The 22431-nt window shown below is 46.8% G+C and overlaps 2 annotated features.

Annotated features, from left to right (window-relative positions):
- Nucleotides 15263–15452: an enhancer, noted in NCBI's record as "active region_26782". NCBI's record gives its function as "activates an Ori minimal core promoter by ATAC-STARR-seq in GM12878 lymphoblastoid cells {active_cell/tissue: GM12878}" and the evidence as "EXISTENCE:reporter gene assay evidence [ECO:0000049][PMID:35858748]".
- Nucleotides 21437–22347: an enhancer, noted in NCBI's record as "H3K4me1 hESC enhancer chr7:140179742-140180652 (GRCh37/hg19 assembly coordinates)". NCBI's record gives its function as "activates a minimal SCP1, AML or CMV promoter by ChIP-STARR-seq in primed H9 embryonic stem cells {active_cell/tissue: H9 hESC(primed)}" and the evidence as "EXISTENCE:reporter gene assay evidence [ECO:0000049][PMID:30033119]".

Here is a 22431-nt window from a genome sequence, read left to right as displayed (position 1 = left end):
ACCTTGAGTAGAACTTGGAAACATCCCAGTTAGAAGGGTAGATAACACCAGCAAAACCGGCAGCTGCAGGGCCCAGAGCTGCCTTTCTTCCACAGCTAGAATGTAATCTGACCATGCCAGTCCTCTGCCTGAAACCACCCAGGGGCTCCCCATGGCCTGCAGGACTAAGTCCAGCCACCAGCTGGCTGCAAGCTGCCCTGGCTGCCTAGGCCTTTATGCTCCAACAATAAATGCACAGGTCGGGCCAGGTGCGGTGGCTCATGCCTGTAATCTCAGCACTTTGGGAAGTTGAGGTGGGCGGATCACCTGAGGTCAAGAGTTCAAGACCAACCTGGCCAACATGGTGAAACCCCATCTCTACTAAAATACAAAAATTAGCCAGGCGTGGTGGTAGGCACCTGTAATCCCAGCTACTCGGGAGGCTGAGGCAGGAGAATCTCTTGAACCCGGGAGGCGGAGGTTGCAATGAGCTGAGATTGAGCTGCACTGCAGCCTGGGTGACAGAGCAAGACTTGGTCTTAAAAAAAAAAAAAAAAAAAAAAAAAGAAGCAGGATGGAGTCAGTTAAGTCAGATCTCTTTCACTGTAATAATTCTGTCAGTTATAATTTTGGCAAAGGTGGTTTTATTGGCAGGGCAAGTGTCCCCTAACATCTCTCTCCTTGGCTTGCAGAGGAGTCTTCTGTGTCCTCACAAGGCCATCCCTTTATGGGTCTTTATGGGTGTCTATGTCCTAATCTCTTCTTCTTCTAAGGAATCATGTTGGATTATGGCCCATCTTAATGAGCTCATTTTAATTCAATTACCTCTTTAAAGACCCTGTCTCCAAATACAGTTACATTCTGAGGTAAAGGGGGTTAGGACTCCACATGAATTTAGGGGTGCGGGATACAATTTAGCCCATAACAGGGTCAAATTTCGTAAGGCTCTGTAGATCATGTTAAGGATTTTAATTTTAACTTTAAAATTAATCAGAAGCTGGACGTGGTGGCTCAAGTCTCTAATCACAACACTTTAGGCGGCTGAGGCAGGAGGATCACTTGAACCCAGAAGTTCAAGACCAACCTGGCCAACATAAAGAGACCTTGTCTCTACCAAAAAAAAAAAAAAAAAAAAATTTGCCAGGCATGGTGGCACATGGCATAGTCCCAGCTGCTCGGGAGGCTGAGGCAAGAGAATTGCTTGAACCCAGGAGACAGAGGTTGCAGTGAGCTGAGATTGCGCCACTGCACTCCAGCCTGGGCAACAGAATGAGACTCCATCTCAAAAAATAAATAAATAAATAAAAATTTAAAAATAAGATGAAAGGAATCTGAAACTATGAAAAAATTTTGCTGGGCGCGGTGGCTCACACGCTGGGCGTGGTGGCTCATTCCTGTAATCCCAGCATTTTGGGAGGACGAGGTGAGGTCAGGAGTTCGAGACCAGCCTGGCCAACATAGTGAAAGCCCATCTCTACTAAAAAAACAAAAATTGGAAGCGCCCAGTGGCTCACTCAGCACTTTGGGAGGCCGAGGTGGGCAGATCACGAGGTCAGGAGTTCAAGATCAGCCTGGTCAATGTGGTGAAACCCTGTCTCTACTAAATACAAAAAAATTAGCTGAGTGTGGTGGTGCACGTCTGTAATCCTAGCTTCTCAGGAGGCTGAGGCAGGAGAATTACTTGAACCCAGGAGGTGGAGCTTGCAGTGAGCTGAGATTGCACCACTGTACTCCAGCCTAGGCAAGGGAGTGAGACTCCATCTCAGAAAAAAAAAAAATTACAAAATTTAGCCGGACGTGGTGGCGGGCACCTGTAGTCCCAACTACTCGGGAGGCTGAGGCAGGAGAATCGCTTGAAACCGGAAGGCAGAGGTTGCAGTGAGCCAATATCGTGCCATTGCACTCCAGCCTGGGTAACAAGAGCGAAACTCCATCTCAAAAAATTTAAAAAAAAAAATTGTATGCAGGAGAATGTCATAAGTACCTTCGGATTTAGAAAATCACAGACTGCAATGCAGACAATAGAATGGAAGGGGTCAGAGTGGATGTTGACAGACCAGTTAGGAGGCCACTCTAACAACCCAGCAAGAAACCTGCCCAAGTCCTGGCATTTTTACTCATGAGATCTATCTCAAAGTTGGCCACTTTGCTCTGTGCCTGGCATATTTAAATAGAAGGCCAGGCATGGTGACTCACGCCTGTAATCCCACCCCTTTGGGAGGCCAAGGCAGGCAGATCACCTGACGTCAGGAGTTCGAAACCAGCCTGGCCAACATGGTGAAACCCCATCTCTACTAATAATACAAAAATTAGCTGTGGGGTCGGGGGAGGGGGGAGGGATAGCATTAGGAGATATACCTAATGCTAAATGAGGAGTTAATGGGTGCAGCACACCAACATGGCACATGTATACATATGTAACAAACCTGCATGTTGTGCACATGTATCCTAAAACTTAAAGTATAATAATAATAAAATTAAAAAAAAAAATTAGCTGGGCGTGGTGGCACATGCTTGTAATCCCAGCTACTCAGGAGGCTGAGGCAGGGGAATTGCTTGAGCCCAGGAGGTGGAGGTTGCAGTGAGCCGAGATCCCGCCACTGCACTCCAGCCTGGGGAACAAGAGCGAAACTCTGTCTCAAAAAAAAAATTTTTTTAATTAAAATTTAAAAATTGGCCAGGCGTGGTGGCTCACACCTGTAATCTCAGCACTTTGGGAGGCCGAGGCACGTGGATCACCTGAGGTTAAGAGTTCAAGACCAGCCTTGACCAACATGGTGAAACCCCATCCCTACTACAAATACAAAAAATTAGCTAGGCATGGTGGCAGTCACTTGTAATCCCAGCTACTCGGGAGGCTGAGGCAGGAGAATCACTTCAACCCGGGAGGCAGAGGTTGCAGTGAGCCAAGATTGCACAATTGCACTATAGCGTGGGTGACAAAAGCAAAACTCCATCTCAAAAATGAATAAATAAATAATTTTTTTAAAAAGCAAATAAATAAATCAATAGAGACAGGGTCTTGCTATGTTTCCCAGGCTGGTCTTGAACTCCTGGGCTCAAGGGATCCTCCTGCCTCAGCTTCCCAAGTTGCTGGGACTTTAGCCAGGTGTGGTGGAGCATGCCTGTGGTCCCAGCTACTCAGGAGGCTCAAGTGGGAGGATTGCTTGAGCCATGGAAATAGAGGTTTCAGTGAGCTGAGATTGCACCAAAAAAAAAAAAAAAGGTGGTCTCGCTCTGTTGCCCAGGCTGGAGTGCAGTGGTGCGATCTTGGCTCACTACAAACTCTGCCTCCCGGGGTTCACGCCATTCTGCTGCCTTAGCTTCCTGAGTAGCTGGGTAGCTGGGACTACAGGTGCCCGCCACCACGCCCGGCTAATTTTTTTGTATTTTTAGTAGAGACAGGTTTTCACCATGTTAGCCAGGATGGTCTTGATCTCCTGACCTCGTGACCCGCCCTCCTTGGCCTCCCAAAGTGTTGGGATTACAGGCGTGAGCCACTGCGCCAGGCCTAAGATTTTTTTTTTTAATGAAAAAACAAAGAGCAAGAACTGGCACTATGAGCACGTGCCACCACACCCAGCTAATTTTTTTTAATTTTTACAATGTTGCCCAGGCTGGTCTTGAACTCCTGGGCTCAAGTGATCCTCCCTCCTCAGCTTCCCAAAGTGCTCAGTTACAGACGTGAGCAGCTGAGCCCAACCCCTAGAGTTTGGCTCTTTTTATCAACAGGTTTCAGCCATCAATACACATGCAATTTTATTTTTTGGACAGTAGGCACACAACACTGAGCTCTATGTTAGCTAACTACCGAATCCAGAATGCACTGCTGCAGTCCCTCAGACTGAAGCCCCCAGACAAATGTGAGGCCAGGACCAGCAGCAGCCATGAAGCCAAAGAGACACTATGCACCTGGGATTATCCAAGTGTGGAAAAGGAATCTGTTCTCCCTCTACCCCACCGCTCAGGACACTCTCATCCTGGCCGCCTGAGTCTGCTGCAGTCTCACTGGGTCTGATAATTTCTGCATGGCTGGTAGAGTACCACCCAAAGATACACTAAAGTGCGCTGTGAACTGGGGAGGAGGAATCTGCTCAGCAGGAACACTAGCTCTCACTGTGTCTCTAAAAGCGCCTTTGCAAAATTAAGACAGTAAGAGAAACCTGACATTGTTGCCGCCTCCAACTTGCTTCTAATCTCCAAGCTGTCCTGGGTCATTCCTGGGAGTAGGTCAAACTAACTTTGAGAGAAATTTAGTTTATAGTTTAACCTTAGGCCGGGCGCGGTGGCTCACACCTGTAAACCCAGCACCTTGGGAGGCCGAGGCGGGTGAATCACCTGAGGCCAGGAATTCAAGACTAGCCTGGCCAACATGGTGAAACCCCTGTGTCTACTAAAAATACCAAAAATTAGCCTGGCATGCTGGCATGTGCCTGTAATCCCAGCTACTTGGGAGGCTGAGACAGGAGAATTGCTTGAACCCAGGAGGTGGAGGTTGCAGTGAGCCAAGACCATGCCACTGCACTCCAGTCTGGGTGACAGAGCCCGACTCCATCTCAAAAAAAATAAATAAATAATTTAACCTTAAAGTGAGGATGATAATGGCCCTTCCCAAAACCAAACTGCCTTTGTAAAACTAATGAAAAGCCATAAGTTTAGGATTATGAGAGGAGCCTGAATTTTGCTGAGATATAGGCATCGTTAAAGGGTAACCAGCCATTGTTCTGGAGGTCACAAGATTTGTGACTTCCCCAATTACTCCTGCAGATAACATCACTATTGTAGAAGCTAAGATTGGCCTTCTGAGATGTCCTTTCACACTTTTACATTTCTGGCTACCTGATGGCTCCACCTGCACTTGTGACTCATGACTCACCCAGTCCTGTGGACCCACCCAGAGGGGAACTCAGCATACAAGCTCCATTTTCCACAGCCCTATGACTGCATCCCCAACATTCACTCCCCAACCCCTAGTCCACTGCCCACCAAACTATCCTTGAAAACCCCTAACCTCAGGTGGCGCAACTGGCTTGAGCGATTGGAAATAAGATGTAGAACCCCCAACGCAGACACTGAGTAGAATGAATTTTTTTTTTTTTTTTTTGAGATGGAGTTTCGCTCTTGTCGCCCAGGCTGGAGTGCAATGGCGTGATCTTGGTTTACTGCAACCTCAACCTCCTGGTTCAAGTGATTCTCCTGCCTCAGCTTCCCGAGTAAGCTGAGATTACAGGCATGCCACCACGCCTAGCAAATTTTTGTATTTTTAGTAGAGATGGGGTTTCACTATGTTGGCCAGGCTGGTTTTGAACTCCTGACTTCAGGTGATCCACCCACCTCCGCCTCCCAAAGTGCTGGGATTACAGACGTGAGCTACTGTGCCTGGCAATTTGCCGAACTTTCTTGTGACAAACTATCTGGATTTTTTAAAAAAGAAAAAGCAAGAATGAATCTTTCTGGTTTTTAGTTTTGTATAAATTAGGTTTCAAATCTTTACATTTCAGAAATAGTCATGGCTGGAAATGCTGTTAAGTTTTTTGGAACTCTTTTTTAAGATTATAGTATTTCCGGCTGGGCACAGTGGCTCATGCCTGTAATCCCAGCACTTTGGGAGGCTGAAGCGGGTGGATCACAAGGTCAGGAGTTCGAGACCAGCCTGATCAACATGGTGAAACCCCGTCTCTACTAAAAAAAAAATATACAAAAATTAGCCAGGTGTGGTGGCTGGCGCCTGTAATCCCAGCTACTCAGGAGGCTGAGGCAGGAGAATTGCTTGAACATGGGAGGTGGAGGTTATGGTGAGCTGAGATCATGCCACTGCACTTCAGCCTGGGTGACAGAGTGAAACTCTATCTAAAAAAAAAAAAAAAAAAGATTATAGTATTTCCTCTAAAAAAAATTAAAACTGGCCAGGCACAGTGGCTCACACCTGTAATCCCAGCACTTTGGGAGGCCAAGGCAGGTAGATCACGAGGTCAGGAGATCGAGACCATCCTGGCTAACACGGTGAAATCCCATCTCTACTAAAAATACAAAAAATTAGCCGGGCTTGGTGGCGGGCGCCTGTAGTCCCAGCTACTTGGGAGGCTGAGGTAGGAGAATCGCTTGAACTCAGGAGGCGGAGGTTGCAGTGAGCCAAGATGGCGCCATTGTACTCCAGCCTGGGAGACAGAGTGAGACTCCGTCTCAAAAAAAAAAAAAAAAAAAAAATTAAACCAGGTATTGATATGGCAAAAACAAAAACAAAAAAAAGAAAACAAAAGAAAATCCTTAACCTCAGAGCCTTCAAGGAGATTGATTTGTAGCCAGCTTCTGTCAATTCAGCGTTCTTTACTGTTCTTTACTGCTGTGCCATGGTCTCAGAGGATTGATTTTGTCTGTGCAGCAGGCAGGAAGAACCCATCAGGTGATTCCATCTCCCCTTCGCTCTCCAGTCGGCCTTATCTCTGACCAACCTTGGCCTGGCTCCCTGGGTCCAGCCACAGTGGCGTCAGCAGGTCCTGGATCACACCAAGCAGGGCCCAGCCTCCGGGCCATACCTGCTGTTCCCTCTGGCCTGTGCGCTCTTCCCTCATGTCTTCACATGGCTCATTCTTTCCAATCCTTTAGGACTACTTTCAAATATTGTCTTAGAAGGGCCTTCCCTGACCACCGTACCTGAATGAAGGAATGAAGGAATCCGCTGATGCTATTATCCCCTAAGACTGTGGCTCATTTAGGCTGCACCTGGAAGAGACATTTTCTTTCTTTTCTTTTCTTTTCTTTTTTTTTTTGAGATGGAGTCTTGCTCTGTCGTCCAGGCTGGAGTGCAATGGTGCAATCTTGGCTCACTGCAACCTCCGCCTCCTGGGTTCAAGTGATTCTCCTGCCTCAGCCTCCTGAGTAGCTGGGATTACAGGCATGCGCCACCACGCCTGGCTAATTTTTGTATTTTTGGTAGAGACGGGGTTTCACCATGTTGCTCAGGCTGGTCTTGAACTCCCGACCTCAGGTGATCCACCCGCCTCAGCCTCCCAAAGTGCTGGGATTACAGGCGTGAGCCACCGTGCCTGGCCTGAGGCCTTTCTTTATAAAGCAAGCTATATTTTCACCAAATAAGCCTAGGAAGTTCATCAATTCATTCTCAGCATTCACTTCCTAGTTTTTGCAGAGATTAGGCTGCCCTTCCTGGCTTTTCTTTCCTGGAAGGCTGGGTTCCGCTATGGCAGAGGAGAGCTGAAGCAGCATTAGTTCAAAGAGCACACACATCACTCACACAAGCTTACCACACAATGCAGTCAGGCTTTCTATCAAACTGCAGTGCAAACTCGTGCACGTGAATACACGTAGTTCCATTTATAACTTCTTTTTTTTTTTGAGACAGAGTTTCGCTCTTGTTGCCCAGGCTGGAGTGCAATGGCGCAATCTCGGCTAGCCACAACCTCCGCCTCTGGGTTCAAGCGATTCTCCTGCCTCAGCCTCCCAAGTAGCTGGGATTACAGGCAGGCACCCCTATGCCCAGCTAATTTTATATTTTTTAGTAGAGACAGGGTTTCTCCATGTTGGTCAGGCTGGTCTTGAACTCCTGACCTCATGCGATCTGCCCAACTCTGCCTCCCAAAGTGCTGGGATTACAGGGGTGAGCCACCGCGCCCGGCCTCCATTTATAACTTTTTTTTTTCTTTTTTGAGACGGAGTCTCTCTCTGTCCCCCAGGCTGGAGTGCAGTGGTGTGATCTCAGCTCAGTGCAAGCTCCGCCTCACAGGTTCATGCCGTTCTCCTGCCTCAGCCTCCCAAGTAGACAGGCGCCCACCACCACGCTCAGCTAATTTTTTATATTTTTAGTAGAGATGGGGTTTTACCGTGTTAGCCAGGATGGTCTCGATCTCCTGACCTCGTGATCCGCCTGCCTTGGCCTCCCAAAGTGCTGGGATTACAGGCGTGAGCCATCGCACCCGGCCCATTTATAACTTTTAAATCACACACACACACAAAATCAAGAACTCCTCAGTAATAAACGGATTTTATTTATTTATCTTTTTTTTTTTTCAAGACGGAGTCTCACTCTGTTGCCCAGGCTGGGGTGCAGTGGCGTGCTCTCAGCTCACTGCAACCTCCGCCTCCTGGGTTCAAGCGATTCTCCAGCCTCAGCCTCCCGAGGAGCTGGGATTACAGGTGCCTGCCACCACAGCCAGCTAATTTTTGTATTTTTAGTAGAGATGGGGTTCCACCATGTTGGCCAAGGTAATCTCAAACTCCTGACGTCAGGCGATCTACCTGCCTTGGCCTCCCAATGTGCTGGGATGAGACACTGCACCCGTTTTTTTTTTTTTTTGAGACTGAGTGTCACTCTATTGCCCAGGCTGGAGTGCAGTGCTGTGATCTCTGCCTCTCAGGTTCAAGGGATTCTCCTGCCTCAGCCTCTCCAGTAGCTGGGATTACAGGCACACCACCACACCCGGCTAATTTTTGTATTTTTAATAGAGATGGGGTTTTCCATGTTGGCTAGGCTGGTCTTAAACTCCTGACCTCAAATGATTTGTCCACCTCGGCCTCCCAAAGGGCTGGGATTACAGGCATGAGCCATTACTCCCGGCCTGTAAATGGATTTTAAACCAAAAACAAAACAAAAAAGTCAAGGAAGTAAAGGTTCAAGCATGTAAGAGTTTTCTAAATATAGCTTCTTGGTATTTTATTTTATTTACTTTTTTAGACAGTTTCGCTCTTGTTGCCCAGGCTGGAGTGCAATGGCGAGATCTCGGCTCACCACAACCTCCGCCTCCCAGGTTCAAGTGATTCTCCCGCCTCAGGCTCGAGAGTAGCTGGGATTACAGGCCTGCGCCAGCACGCCTGGCTAATTTTTTTGTATTTTTAGTAGAGACGGGGTTTCTCCATGTTGGTCAGGCTGGTCTTGAACCCCTGACCTCAGGTGATTCGCCCGCTTCGGCCTCCCAAAGTGCTGGGATTACAGGCATGAGCCACTGCGCTGGAAGGTATTGTATTTTAAATGCTTACTATCAGCCCTTTTCTGAAATCTAATTTATCTTTTTCCCACCGGCAGGTGGCCCTAGCACATTTCCATACTTTAGGACACCTATGGGCTGATTTCAGATCAGATTTGGTAGCAGGGTACAGAACAGAGGAAGATAACCTTATTGGCATTTTTGCCCCTCCCTAAAGAGAGCCCTCCAGCAGCATAAACTATTTGGTCAGCATAATCCCCTCCAGGGGTGAGGGCTGGGGTGGGAGAGCTGAGATATCTTGCCATTTCTAGAGAGGAACTGCTCTAAGTTTTCCTGTTCTTTTCCTAAAATCCTTTTGTTCCTAACCCTTTTGAGGGAGAAGGGGAGCTTAGAGATAGGGTAAGGCCCCACAAATTCATATTTGCATTCATTGATTCATGTGTCATCCATTCATTTGGCTTTTTATTTATTTTTATTTATTTATTTATTTATTTTGAGACGGAGTCTCGCTCTGTCACCCAGGCTGGAGTGCAGTGGTGCAATTTCAGCTCACTGCAAGCGCCGCCTCCTAGGTTCATGCCATTATCCTGCCTCAGCCTCCCGAGTAGCTGGGACTACATGCGCCCGCCACCACGCCCAGATAATTTTTGTATTTTTAGTAGAGAGGGGGTTTCACTGTGTTAATCAGGATGGTCTTGATCTCCTGACCTCGTGATCTGCCCGCCTCGGCCTCCCAAAGTGCTGGGATTACAGGCATGAGCCACCACGCCCGGCGGCTTTTTATTTTTTATTTCATAAAGATGGAGTCTTGCTATTTTGTCCAGGCTGATTGTGAACACCTGGCCTCAAATGAGCCTGCCGAGGTACTGGAATTAGAGGCGTGAGCCACTGCACCTGGACTCATTCATTTGTTTACTTGACAAACTTTCTTTTCAGATGGAGTCTCGCTCTGTCCCCTGGGGCTGTAATCTCGCTCTGCCCCCGCTGGGCTCGCAGTGGCACCAGTGGCGTGATTTCAGCTCACTGCACCTTCCGTCTCCCAGGTTCAAGCGATTCTCCTGCCTCAGCCTCCCAAGTAGCTGGGACTACAGGCATGCACCACTCATTTTTTTTTTTTTTTTTTTTTAGTTCTTCAGCTAAGACAGTGGAAGAGGGGTTTTATTGTATGGTTGCTATACTCAGCCACAAGTGGACACAGAAATAGTCCAGAATGGCCGGGTGCGGTGGCTTATGCCTGTAGTCCCAGCACTTTGGGAGGCCGAGGCGGGCGGATCATGAAGTCAGGAGTTCGAGACCAGCCTGACCAACTTGGTGAAATCCCATCTCTACCAAAAATACAAAAAAATTAGCTGGGCATGGTGGCGCACACCTGTAATCCCAGCTATTTAAGAGGCTGAGGCAGGACAATCGCGTGAACCCAGGAGGCGGAGATTGCAGTGAGCCGAGATCGCACCACTGCACTCCAGCCTGGGTGACAGAGCAAGATTCTGTCTCAAAAAATAAATAAATAAATAGTTCAGAATGTCACAGATCCAGGACAAAGGACCAACATGGACAGTTTTGGTTATTACCAAGGTGGGTCTCAGAGGTGGTCTTGGCGATCAGTTGGCGATAAAGTTCCAGGTCCATTGAGAAAGCTCTAGACAGTAGCATGCAGTCCAACAACTTGTACCAGCATTCCCAGCCTCTGGCATTCCATGTTTCTGCTTCTGTGGCCTCCACGGGTGCAACAAGCTAGTGGTTTACTTGGACCTCTGCCTCATCTTTCTTTTGGGCTTCAGCCTCCTCATGTGCTTCTTCCTCCACTTGGCTCTTGTAGCACAAAGGTTTCCAAGAAGATGGCACCAAGGCCAAGAGCTCATTTTTGTATTTTTGGTAGAGACGGGGGTTTCACTATGTTGGCCAGGCTGGTCTTGAACTGACCTCAAGTGACCCACCTGCTTCAGCCTCCCAAAGTGCTAGGATTGAAGGAATGAGACAGGGTTTTGCCATGTTTCCCAGGCTGGTCTTGAACCCCTGGCCTCAAGCAATCATCCCACCTTGGCCTCCCAAAGTGCTGGGATTACAAGGCATAAGACACCTCTCCTGGTTCCAGTTAATTTTCTAATGTTTTTCTAGAAATGGAGTCTTGCTATATTGCCCAGGCTGGTCTTGAGCTCCTGGCTTCAAGCGATCTTCCCACCTCAGCCTCCCAAAGTGCTGGAAGTACAGGCATGAGCCACTGCACCTGGCCAAACTGGATTGCTTATTAAAAAAAAAAAAAAAAAAAAAAATATATATATATATATATATATATATATATAAATGTACCAAAAATTAACACAGTATTTAATATTAAAAATAACTCGGCCAGGCGTGGTGGCTCATGCCTGTAATCCCAGCACTTTGGGAAGCTGAGGTGGGCGGATCATTTGAGGTCAGGAGTTGGAGACCAGCCTGGCCAACATGGTGAAATCCTGTCTCTACTGAAATTTCAAAAATTAGCTGGGTGTGGTGGCGCGCCTGTAATCCCAGCTACTTGGGAGGCTGAGGCAGGAGAATCACTTGAACCTGGGAAGCAGAGGTTGCGGTGAGCCGAGATCGCGTCATTGCACTGCAGTATGGACAATACAGCAAGACTCCGACTCAAAAATAAATAAATACAATAAAAATAAAATAACTCATGGGCTGGGTGTGGTGGTTCATGCCTGTAATCCCAGCACTTTGGGAGACTGAAGGGGGGTGGGGGGGTGGATTGCCTGAGGTCAGGAGTTTGAGACCAGCCTGGCCAACATGGCGAAACCCTGTCTCTACTAAAAACACAAAAATTAGCTGGGCATGGTGGTGCATGCCTGTAATCCCAGCTACTCAGGAGGCTGAGGCAGGAGAATCGCTTGAACCCAGGAGGCAGAGGTTGAAGTTAGCTGAGATCATACCACTGCACTCCAGCCTGGGTGACAGAGCAAGTCTCCATCTCTAAAAATAAAAATAAAATAGGCCCGGCACGGTGGCTCACGCCTGTAATCCCAGCACTTTGGGAGGACGAGGCGGGCAGATCATGAGGTCAGGAGATTGAGACTGTCCTGACTAACACGGTGAAACCCCGTTTCTATTAAAAATACAAAAAATTAGCTGGGCGTGGTGGCGGGCTCCTGTAGTCCCAGCTAGTTGGGAGGCTGAGGCAGGAGAATGGCGTGAACCTGGGAGGCAGAGCTTGCAGTGAGCCTAGATCATGCCACTACACTCCAGCCTGGGCAGCAGAGCGAAACTCCATCTCAAAAATAAAATAAAATAAAATAAATAAGATAACAATAAAAATAAAATAAAATAACTCATAGCTGGGGCTGATGGCTCACACCTGCAATCTTAGCATTATGGGATTACAAAGGGAGGCCCAGTCAGGAGCATTGATTGAGGAGGATTTAAAAGGCAGGGAACCACTGGTCTATAAGAGAATATAGACTGTTTTTACAGGGAACAAATCATTAATTAAACTCCCTTTGGAAAGAAAATAACACATAGATCAACATTATGTTTATTGTGTAGACTACAGTTTCCAGATTAAGGTTGTCAAAACTTGTGTAACATAGTACAAACTACATCTGCTGACAATAAAATATTCCACACTGGCTTGGGAAGATGCCAGACAAATCTCTTATCCTTTAACTTTGCAGCACTTAAAGTGATTGTGTCTTATTTGTAGTCTTCTCTTTTTTTTTTATTTTTTTGAGACAGAGTCTTGCTCTGTCGTCCAGGCTGGAGTGCAGTGGCGCGATCTCGGCTCACTGCAAGCTCTGCCTCCTGGGTTCATGCCATTCTCCCACCTCAGCCTTCTGAGTAGCTGGGACTACAGGCCCCCACCACCACACCCAGCTAATTTTGTTTTTGTATTTTTAGTAGAGATGGGGTTTCACCGTGTTAGCCAGGATGGTCTCGATCTCCTAGCCTCGTGATACGCCCGCCTTGGCCTCCCAAAGTGCTGGGATTACAGGCGTGAGCCACCGCGCCTGGCCGTAGCCTTTTCTTTCAAAGGAAAAACTCCTTTAGGGCAAGGCCTAACCTCCAGCACCAGCTCAGGGAAGCAATAAAGCAGAAGTTTAAATTCCTCAAGCTCCAAGCTCACTTATGGGCTATGTGATTACAGGCAACATTTGTGCATGACTCGACAACCTCATTTTCCGGGCCTTAAAATGGCAAAGTACTCTGTACTTCTCCTACTTCTAAAGGCCATTGTGGGACCCAAACTAGATAATGTAGATGTAAGGCCTTTGAAAATCAAGTGTGGTTCTTATATAAGGATGTGCATCTGTGACATAACCTCAGGAGGTGTTTTTAGTTTTTGTTTTTGTTTTTGTTTTTTTGAGATGGAGTCTCGCTCTGCTGACCAAGCTGGAGTGTGGTGGAGAAGCTGGGATTACAGGTGTGCCCCACCACGCCCAGCTAATTTTTTTGAGACAGAGTCTCACTCTGTCCCCCAGGCAGTAGTGCAATGGCATGATCTTAGCTCACTGCAACCTCCACCTCCAGGGTTCAAGTGATTCTCCTGCCTCAGCCTCCCAAGCAGCTGGGATTACAGGTGTACACAACCATGCCCGGCTAATTTTTGTATTTTTAGTAGAGATGGAGTTTCACCATGTTGGCCTGAGTGGTTTGGAACTCCTGACCTCAAGTAATCTGCCCACCACGGCCTCCCAGTGTGCTGGGATTACAGGCATAAGCCACTGTACTCAGCCTCAGGAGGTTCTTGATTACATGTGCCCAAGGTGGTCAGATCACAGCTTGCTTTTATACATTCTAAGGAGACATGAGCCGTCAATCAACATATGCACGATGAACATTGGTTCAGTCTGGAAAGGCAGGACAACTTGAAGCCAAAAAAGGGAAGATTCCAAGCCGGGAGGAGTTTTCCAGGTCATAGGTAGATAACAGGCAAATGGTTGCATTCTTTTGAGTTTCTGATTGGCCTCTCCAAAGGAGGCAATCAGATATGCGTTTATCTCAGTCACCAGAGGGGTGACTTTGAATAGAATGGGAGACAGTTTGGCCCTGAGAAGTTTCCAGCTTGACTTTTCCCTTTAGCTTAGTAATTTACAGGCCCCAACATTTATTTTCCTTTAACACTACGTGTATTTTTTTTTTTGAGACGGAGTCTTGCTGTGTGGCCTAGGCTGGAGTGCAGTGGCGTGATCTTGGCTCACTGCAACCTCTGCCTCCAGGGTTCAAGTGATTCTGGTGCCTCAGCCTCCTGAGTAGCTGGGATTACAGCATGCATCACCACCATGACCAGCTAAATTTTTTTGTATTTTTAGTAGAGATGGGGGTTTCACCATGTTGGCCGTGCTGGTCTCAAACTCCTGACCTCAAGTGTTCCACCCACCTTGGCCTCCCAAAGTGCTGGGATTACAGGCATGAGCCACTGTGCAAAGCCAACACACTAGTTATATTTTAATTTCAGATAAACAATGAATAATTTTTAAGTATATCTCATGTCATATTTGGAATATATTTATACTAAGTACTGATTATTTAGCTGAAATTCAAACTTAACTTGGCATCCAGATTTTCTTTTAATTTTTAAATTTAATTTTTATTTTGTAGAGATAGAGGTCTCACTATGTTGCCCAGGCTGGTCTAGAACTCCTGGCCTCAAGTGATCCTCCTGCCTCAGCCTGCCAAAGGGCTGGGATTACAGACATGAGCCAGGGTCACCTGCTATTCTACATCTTTATTTGCTAAGTTTGACAACCCTATTCTAATGTCATGTAACAACAGCAATTAAAACAATAGCAAACACATATCTAATAGGTTTTGTTTTGTTTTGAGACAGAGTCTTGTTCTGTCGCCAGGCTGGAGTGCAGTGGCATGATCTTGGCTCACTGCAACCTCTGCCTCCCAGGTTCAAACGATTCTCCTGCCTCAGCCTCCTGAGTAACTGGGACTATAGGCGCATGCCACCATGCCCAGTTAATTTTTTGTATTTTTAGTAGAGACAGGGTTTCACCATGTTAGCCAGGATGGTCTCGATCTCCTGACCTTGTGATCTGCCCGCCTTGGCCTCCCAAAGTGCTGGGATTATAGGCATGAGCCACCGCGCCCAGCCTATATCTAGCAGTTATTAAATGAAGTGAATGTCCTTTGAGTTTTGCATCCATTAACTCCTTTAATATTTACAAGGAAGGTTTTTTTGTGTGTGGCTTTTTGTTTGTTTGTTTGTTTTTTGCTTTTGGCTTTATTTCTTTTCTTTTTTGTGTGTGTGAGATGGAGTCTTGCTCTGTCCTTCAGGCTGGAGTGCAGTGGCGTTATCTTGCCTCACTGCAACTTCTGCCTCCCAGGTTCAAGTGATTCTCCTGCCTCAGCCTCCTGAGTAGCTGGGACTACAGACACACACCACCATGTCTGGCTCATTTTTGTATTTTTGGTAGAGACAGGGTTTCACCATGTTGGCCAGACTGATCTTGAACTCCTGACCTCAAGTGATCCAACTGAAACCACCTTTGCAAAATTATGACTGAAACAGAGAGAGATCTAACTTAACTGACTCCATCTTGCTTCTAACCTCCAAGCTGTCCTTTTTCATTCCTGGGTGTAGGCTGAACTAACTTTGGGAGAAACTTAGTTTATACTTTATAGTTTAAACAAAGACCATAACAGCCCTTTCCGAAAGCAGACCTCCTTCTTGGCTGGGGACTAGATTGCCTTTGTAGGACTAACATTAGCCACAAGATTAGAAGTTATGGTTTAGGAGTCGTGCAGCTAGAGGCTGCAAGATTCTGACCCTCCCTAAACTTCTCCTAAGATTGGTGCCCAGCACTTTGAGAGGCCCAGGTGAGCTGATCACCTGAGGTCTGGAGTTCAAGACCAGCCTGGCCAACATGGCGAAACCCCGTCTCTACTGAAAATACAAAAAAATTAGCCCAGCGTGGTGGCGGGTGCCTGTAATCCCAGCTGCTCCCAGGAAAGAGAATCCCAGGCAAAAGAATCGCTTGAACCTGGGAGGCAGAGGTTGCAGTGAGCCGAGATTGTGCCACTGCACTCCAGCCTGGGCAACAGAGTGGGACTCCGTCTTGGAAAAAACTAATACAAAAATTAGCCAGGCGTGGTGGCGGGCACCTGTAGTCCCAGCTACTCGGGAGGCTGAGGCATGAGAATTGCTTTAACCCGGGAGGCGGAGGTTGCAGTGAGCTGAGATAGCGCCATTGCGCTCCAGCCTTGGTGAAAAAAAGAAAAAAAAGATCATTGCTTGAGATATTTTGCAGACCCTGCACTTGATGGATCACCTGGCACCACCCAGATCAATAAACTGGCTCATCTGATCTTGTGGCCCCCACCCAGGAACTGACTCAGCAAAAGAAGACAGCTCTGATTCCTAGGATTTCATCTCTGACCAACCAATCAGCACTCCTGGCTCACTGGCTTCCCCCTTCCCCCGCCCCACCAGGTTATCCTTAAAAACTCTGCTCTCTGAATGCTCCAGGAGTCTGAGTTGAGTAATAATAAAACTCTGGTCTTCCGGACAGCTGGCTCTGCATGAATTACTCTTTCTCTGTTGTAATTCCCGTCTTCATGAATTGGCTCTGTCTAGGCAGCGGGCAAGGTGAATTCCTTGGGTGGTTACACGACTGGCTAGGCTTCCCAAAGCGCTGGGATTTCAGGCGTGAGCCACCACGCCCGGTGTGTTTTGGCTTTATTTCATCAACAAGGAAACTGAGGTGGTAATTTGCCCAATGCCACACAGCCACTATGTGCAGGAACAAAAGTGCCCATGTGACTCCTATATAGCTCAGATTTCCTGCATAGTCATGATTTTAACTTTTCTGTTATCCTGACTAGTTCTATTGAACACTCCTTGCCAAGCCATGCAACTTTTGTTCTAAGTATGATCACCACACTCTGAAAATGACTATAGTTTCATGCAAAGTTGTGAAGCAGATACCCACCACCGCCTCGTTATTCCTCCTTTCTCTACCAAGTGTCCCTGCTGAAAAATCAACTGACAAAGGCAGATTAATAGAGAAAAGGCACACACATTTATTAACATGCACGGGGTATGGGTGGGGCGAATGACACAGTAATTACCCAATATCCCAGTGGGGCCCAGATAGTTGTATAGCCTTATTTCAGAGGGGAGGGAGAGATCAGAAAAACAGTAGTTCTGTTAAGGGGCAATAAATGATTACAAGGCAGAATGAACGGATAAGGGAACAGAGACTAACTTGTAAATGGTTCTCTTTGGAAACTGAATGAGCCTGAAAGACACACATTGTCTTGTAAAAGAATTTGTTCTGATGTGATTACATTCTTGGTCTTCCTTCCTGCAAAAGATCATAAGATAATAGACAGGGGGAGGAAGAACAATTGTTCTTGGAGGGTCCTTGGGTCTTTATGTAGATTGAGGAAGCCTCTTCTAACCCTGTTGATCTCTAGGGCATTTTATTCAAAACACTCATTATACCAGGGAGTCACATTTTGGGGTGAAGTTTCCTGTGTTCCTTCACTGGCCTTAACCCCAGTCAGTAGAGATGGATGAGGCAAAGATCTTCTGCTCCTACTGGAGTCCTTCCCAGCATACAGGCACCCCCCTCTGGACTCTGGCATCTGAGAAGGCATTAGTAATTGGAGAAAGTTCTGGGTACCCTCACGTCACACCAAGCCTTTACTCTGCCTACAATTAAGAACCTGGGCCAGGCATGGTGGCTCAAGGCTATAATCCCAGCACCTTGGGAGGCCAAGGCCTGGGGAGGGAAGGGGAGATAAGACCAGCCTGATTTCTATTAAAAAAACAAACAAAAACATGGGCAGGGCCCATGCCTGTAATCCCAGCACTTTGGGAGGCTGAGGTGGACCAATCACTTGAGGTCAGGAGTTCGAGACCATCTTTGCCAACGTGGTGAAACCCCATCTCTACTAAAAATACAAAAATTAGCTGGGCATGGTGGTGGGCGCCTGTAGTCCCAGCTACTCGGGAGGCTGAGGCAGAAGAACCACTTGAACCCAGGAGGCAAAGATTGCAGTGAGCCGAGATCGCACCTGCACCCCAGTCTGGGCGACAGAGCGAGATTCCATCCCACAAACACATACACATACACAACAACAATAGCAACAAAAATCACCTGGCTGTGTAGTGCTGGCACAGTAGGGTCCCTAATAAATAGTTTGGTAGGAAAGAAATGAACGAATTGCCCTTTTGCTGCATGTTTACCCCAGCACACTAAAGGAGAGATGGCTTTTGTTTCCTTTTAATACAACATGTTGTTATTTTTGTTTGGTATGGATGGTGAGCCAAGGCATAGTATTGCTGGGTAATTTTGATAACGTCAGAGATTGAGCACCTACTATATGCCAGACACTATTCTAGGTACTTGGGATACATCTCTGCAAAGATCCCAGTCCTCCAAGAGCCTGTAATCCTAGCACTTTGGGAGGCCAAGACAAGAGGATTGCTTGAGCCCAGGAGTTCGAGACCAGCTAGGACATCATGGCGAAACCCTGTCTCTACCAAAAATACAATAATTGGCTGGACGTAAGGGTGTGTGCCTGTGGTCTCAGCTACATGGAAGACTGAGGAAGGAGGATCGCATGAGCCCGAGAGGTGGGGATTGCAGTGAGCTGAGATTGCACCACTGCACTTAATCCTACACAACAGAGCGAGACCCTGTCTCAAAACAAACAAAACAAACAAAGAAACAAACAAAAACCCTGGCAGATTATTGATGAAAAGGCATACACATTTATTAATGTGCACAGGGAGAACAAGAGAGTGATGATCCCAACCCCTCAACGGGGAGGGCAAGCTCATATTCCATCTTGAGGTTACTGAAAGAATGGGGAACATATCCCAAAACAGGATATAAGGGTAAATCATATGGTGGCCAGCAGTTATGGGATGGAGAGAAGCAGAAGCCTGGCTAGCCACAGTGGTCTTGTTAGGTCATTGAAACCATGCAGGTAGCAGCCTTCAGAGACACAATAGGTAGTAAATGTTTCCTTCAGGCTTCAAACGTTGTCAGACTCTCAGCTAATGTTTCCTAGATCTGGGGAAGGGAGGGCTCCAAAGAAAGCCGGGCTGCCTCAGTGTAGATTTTCTCTGCAGATGCAAATCTTTCCCACAAAAGACAGCTTTCCTTCTATTCTTGTATTTCCAACCCTTCCAAAGAGGTATCTTATTTGTTTTTTTTCTTTTTTATTATGAAGTGGTATCTTAAAATACGTCAAAGAAGTTTAATTAATTAATTTATTTATTTTTGAGACAGAGTCTCACTCTGGTGTCCAGGTTGGAGTGCAGTGGCTTGATCTTGGCTCACTGCAACCTCCACCTCCCGGGTTCAAGAGATTCTCCTACCTCAGCCTCCCAAGTAGCTGGGACTACAGACGTGCGCCACCACACCCAGCTAATTTTTGAATTTTTAGTAGAGACAGGTTTTCACCATGTTGGCCAGGCTGGTCTCGATCTCTTGACTTCGTGATCCGCCCGCCTAGGCCTCTCAAAGTGCTGGGATTACAGGTGTGAGCCACCACACCCGGCCTGGATTACTTCTAAAACTATGAAAAGTAAAGTGTAGTTAATTTTTAATTTTGTTTAGAGATAAGGTCTCACTATATTGGCCAGGCTGGGATTACAGACACACGCCACCAAGCCCAGCTAATTTTTGTATTTTTAGTAGACACGGGGGTTTTTCTATGTTGCCTAGGCTGGTCTCGAACTCCTGACCTCATGCAATCCGCCCAACTCTGCCTCCCAAAGTGCTGGGATTACAGGCGTCAGCCACCACGCCTGGCCAGAAGTGTATATTTTGAGGTGAAGTGAAATATTTTGGTTTCCTTCGAGGGGATTGTTAGTTATCTTGCTGTGGTGTGGCCTTAGGAGATGCATTCTTTTCTGTTGTTTTTGCCACCTTCCTTGTTTGCCTGTGTTGGGCACATCGGGGTCTGATGATTAATAGGCTGATTTTCACTTTCAACGTAGAGACTACAGAAAAGTCGAACTTAAGGGCTTATGAAAAACTGCCTATGGAAACTCAGAGTTTAATATGTTGCATCTGAGTGGACAGTAGGCCTTATGGGGAAAAATAATTAAATACACTCTGAGGCCCGGCATGGTAGTTTATGCCTATAATCCCAGCACTTAGGGAGGCCAAGACAGGAGCATCACTTGAGCCCAGGTGCTGGAGACCAGCCTGGCCAATATAGTGAGACCTCATCCCTAAACAAAATTAAAAATTAACTACACTTTACTTTTCATAGTTTTAGAAGTAATCCAGGCCGGGCGTGGTGGCTCACACCTGTAATCCTAGCACTTTGAGAGGCCTAGGCGGGCGGATCACGAAGTCAAGAGATTGAGACCAGCCTGGCCAACATGGTGAAAGCCTGTCTCTACTAAAAATACAAAAATTAGCTGGGTATGGTGGCGCACGTCTGTAGTCCCAGCTACTTGGGAGGCTGAGGCAGGAGAATTGCTTAAACCCGGGAGGCAGAGGTTGCAGTGAGCCGAGATCGCGCCATTGCACTCCAGCCTGGTGACAGAGCAAGACGGTCTCAAAAAAAAAAAAAAAAGTAATCCTCAGAAGCTAGGATATTCCTTATTTCTCAGCCTTAAAATAGAAGGCTCTATTTACAAGAGCCTTCTTTCGGGCTCTCCCTTCCCCAGACCTGAGAGAGATTAACTGAGAGTCTGACAACTTGAAAAGTCTGAAAGAAACATTTACCACCTATTGTGTCTCTAAAGGTTACTACCTGTGTGGTAGCCTTTATTTGCCACAATATGGATAAACCTGCAGGACATTATGCTAAATGAAATAAGCCAGACACAAAGAACAATACTACATTATCTCACTTATACGTGAAGATGTGAAAAAGTTGAATACATAGCAACAGAGTAGAACAGTGGTTTACCAGGAGTGGAGTGGGGAATGGGGACATCAGGTCAAAGGGGACAAAGTTGCAGCTGTGTAGGATGAATAAGTCTAGAGATCTAATGTACCACATGAAGACTATGATTTTTTTTTTTTTTTGAGACGGACTCTCGCTCTTGCCCAGGCTGGAGGGCAGTGGCGTGATCTCAGCTCACTGCAAGCCTCACCTGCCGGGTTCACGCCATTCTCCTGCCTCAGCCTCCCGAGTTGCTGGGACAACAGGCACCCACCACTATGCCCAGCTAATTTTTTGTGTTTTTTGAGTAGAGACGGGCTTTCACCGTGTTAGCTAGGATGGTCTCGATCTCCTGACCTTGTGATCCGCCCGCCTCGGCCCCCAAAGTGCTGGGATTACAGGTGTGAGCCACCGTGCCCGGCGGAAGACTATGATTAATGTTAATAGATAATATTGTATTGTATACTGGAAAATTGCTAAGAGTAGAGCTTGGGTTTTTACCACAAACACATACACAAAATATTCATGTGAGGTGATATGCTAAATCTGCTTGACTGTAGTAATCACTTCACTAGGTACATGTATATTAAAACAATGTTTTACACCTTAAATACATACAATTTTAAAGACGCATTAAAAAAAAAGCTAGGATATTCCAGACATATTTTGTTACTCATTATGTATTCACTGCAGTGTGAAAAGCACAATGCAAAGGGGTTTTTTTTTTTTTTTTTTTGCTTTTTGTTTTTTTTTTTTGAGATGGAGTCTAGCTTTGTCGCCCAGGCTGCAGTGCAGTGGCTAGAGTGCGGTGGCGCGATCTCGGCTCACTGCAAGCTTCGCCTCCCGGGTTCACTCCATTCTCCTGCCTCAGCCTCGGAGTAGCTGGGACTACAGGCGCCCGCCATCATGACCGGCTAATTTTTTTGTATTTTTTAGTAGAGACGGGGTTTCACCGTGTTAGCCAGGATGGTCTCAATCTCCTGACCTGGTGATCCGCCCCCCTCGGCCTCCCAAAGTGCTGGGATTACAGGCGTGAGCCACCGCGCCCGGCCAGTACAAAGGTTTTTAAACAGATTCTCATTTAACTTTCACAGCCATCTCTGAAGTAGGTACTATTATCTATTACTATTATTATTATTTTGAGACGGAATTTCATTCTGTCGCCCAAGCTGGAGTGCAGTGGCGCGATCTCGGCTCACTGCAACCTCCGCCTCCCGGGTTCAAGGAATTCTCCTGCCTCAGCCTCCTGAGTAACTGGGACTAGCCACTACACCCGGCTAATTTTTGTATTTTTAGTAAAGACGGGGTTTCACCACGTTGGCCAGGCTGATCTCGAACTCATGACCTCAGGTGATTCGCCTACCTCAGCCTCCCAAAGTGCTGGGATTACAGGCGTGAGCCACCGCGCCTGGCCTATTATTATTATTATTGTCGTTTTTACAGAGGAGAAAGCAGGAGCACCAAGAGGTAGGATAATTTGCTAGAAGACCCATGGCTTAGAAAGGGAAGCCTGGAGATAAGGGGACCAGCCCTCTAGAGCATTGCTCAGCCAAAATACTTGGCCAAGATCACATCTCTGATACCAGGAATGAGATAACCTTTATTAAGTGTTTACCATGTACCAGGCACTAAGCTCAGTGATTTCTAAGGACATCATATAATCCTCACA

The sequence above is a fragment of the Homo sapiens genome, chromosome 7, assembly GCF_000001405.40.
Source record: "Homo sapiens chromosome 7, GRCh38.p14 Primary Assembly".
NCBI lineage: Eukaryota > Metazoa > Chordata > Mammalia > Primates > Hominidae > Homo > Homo sapiens.
This window is presented reverse-complemented; position numbering and strand designations above follow the sequence as displayed.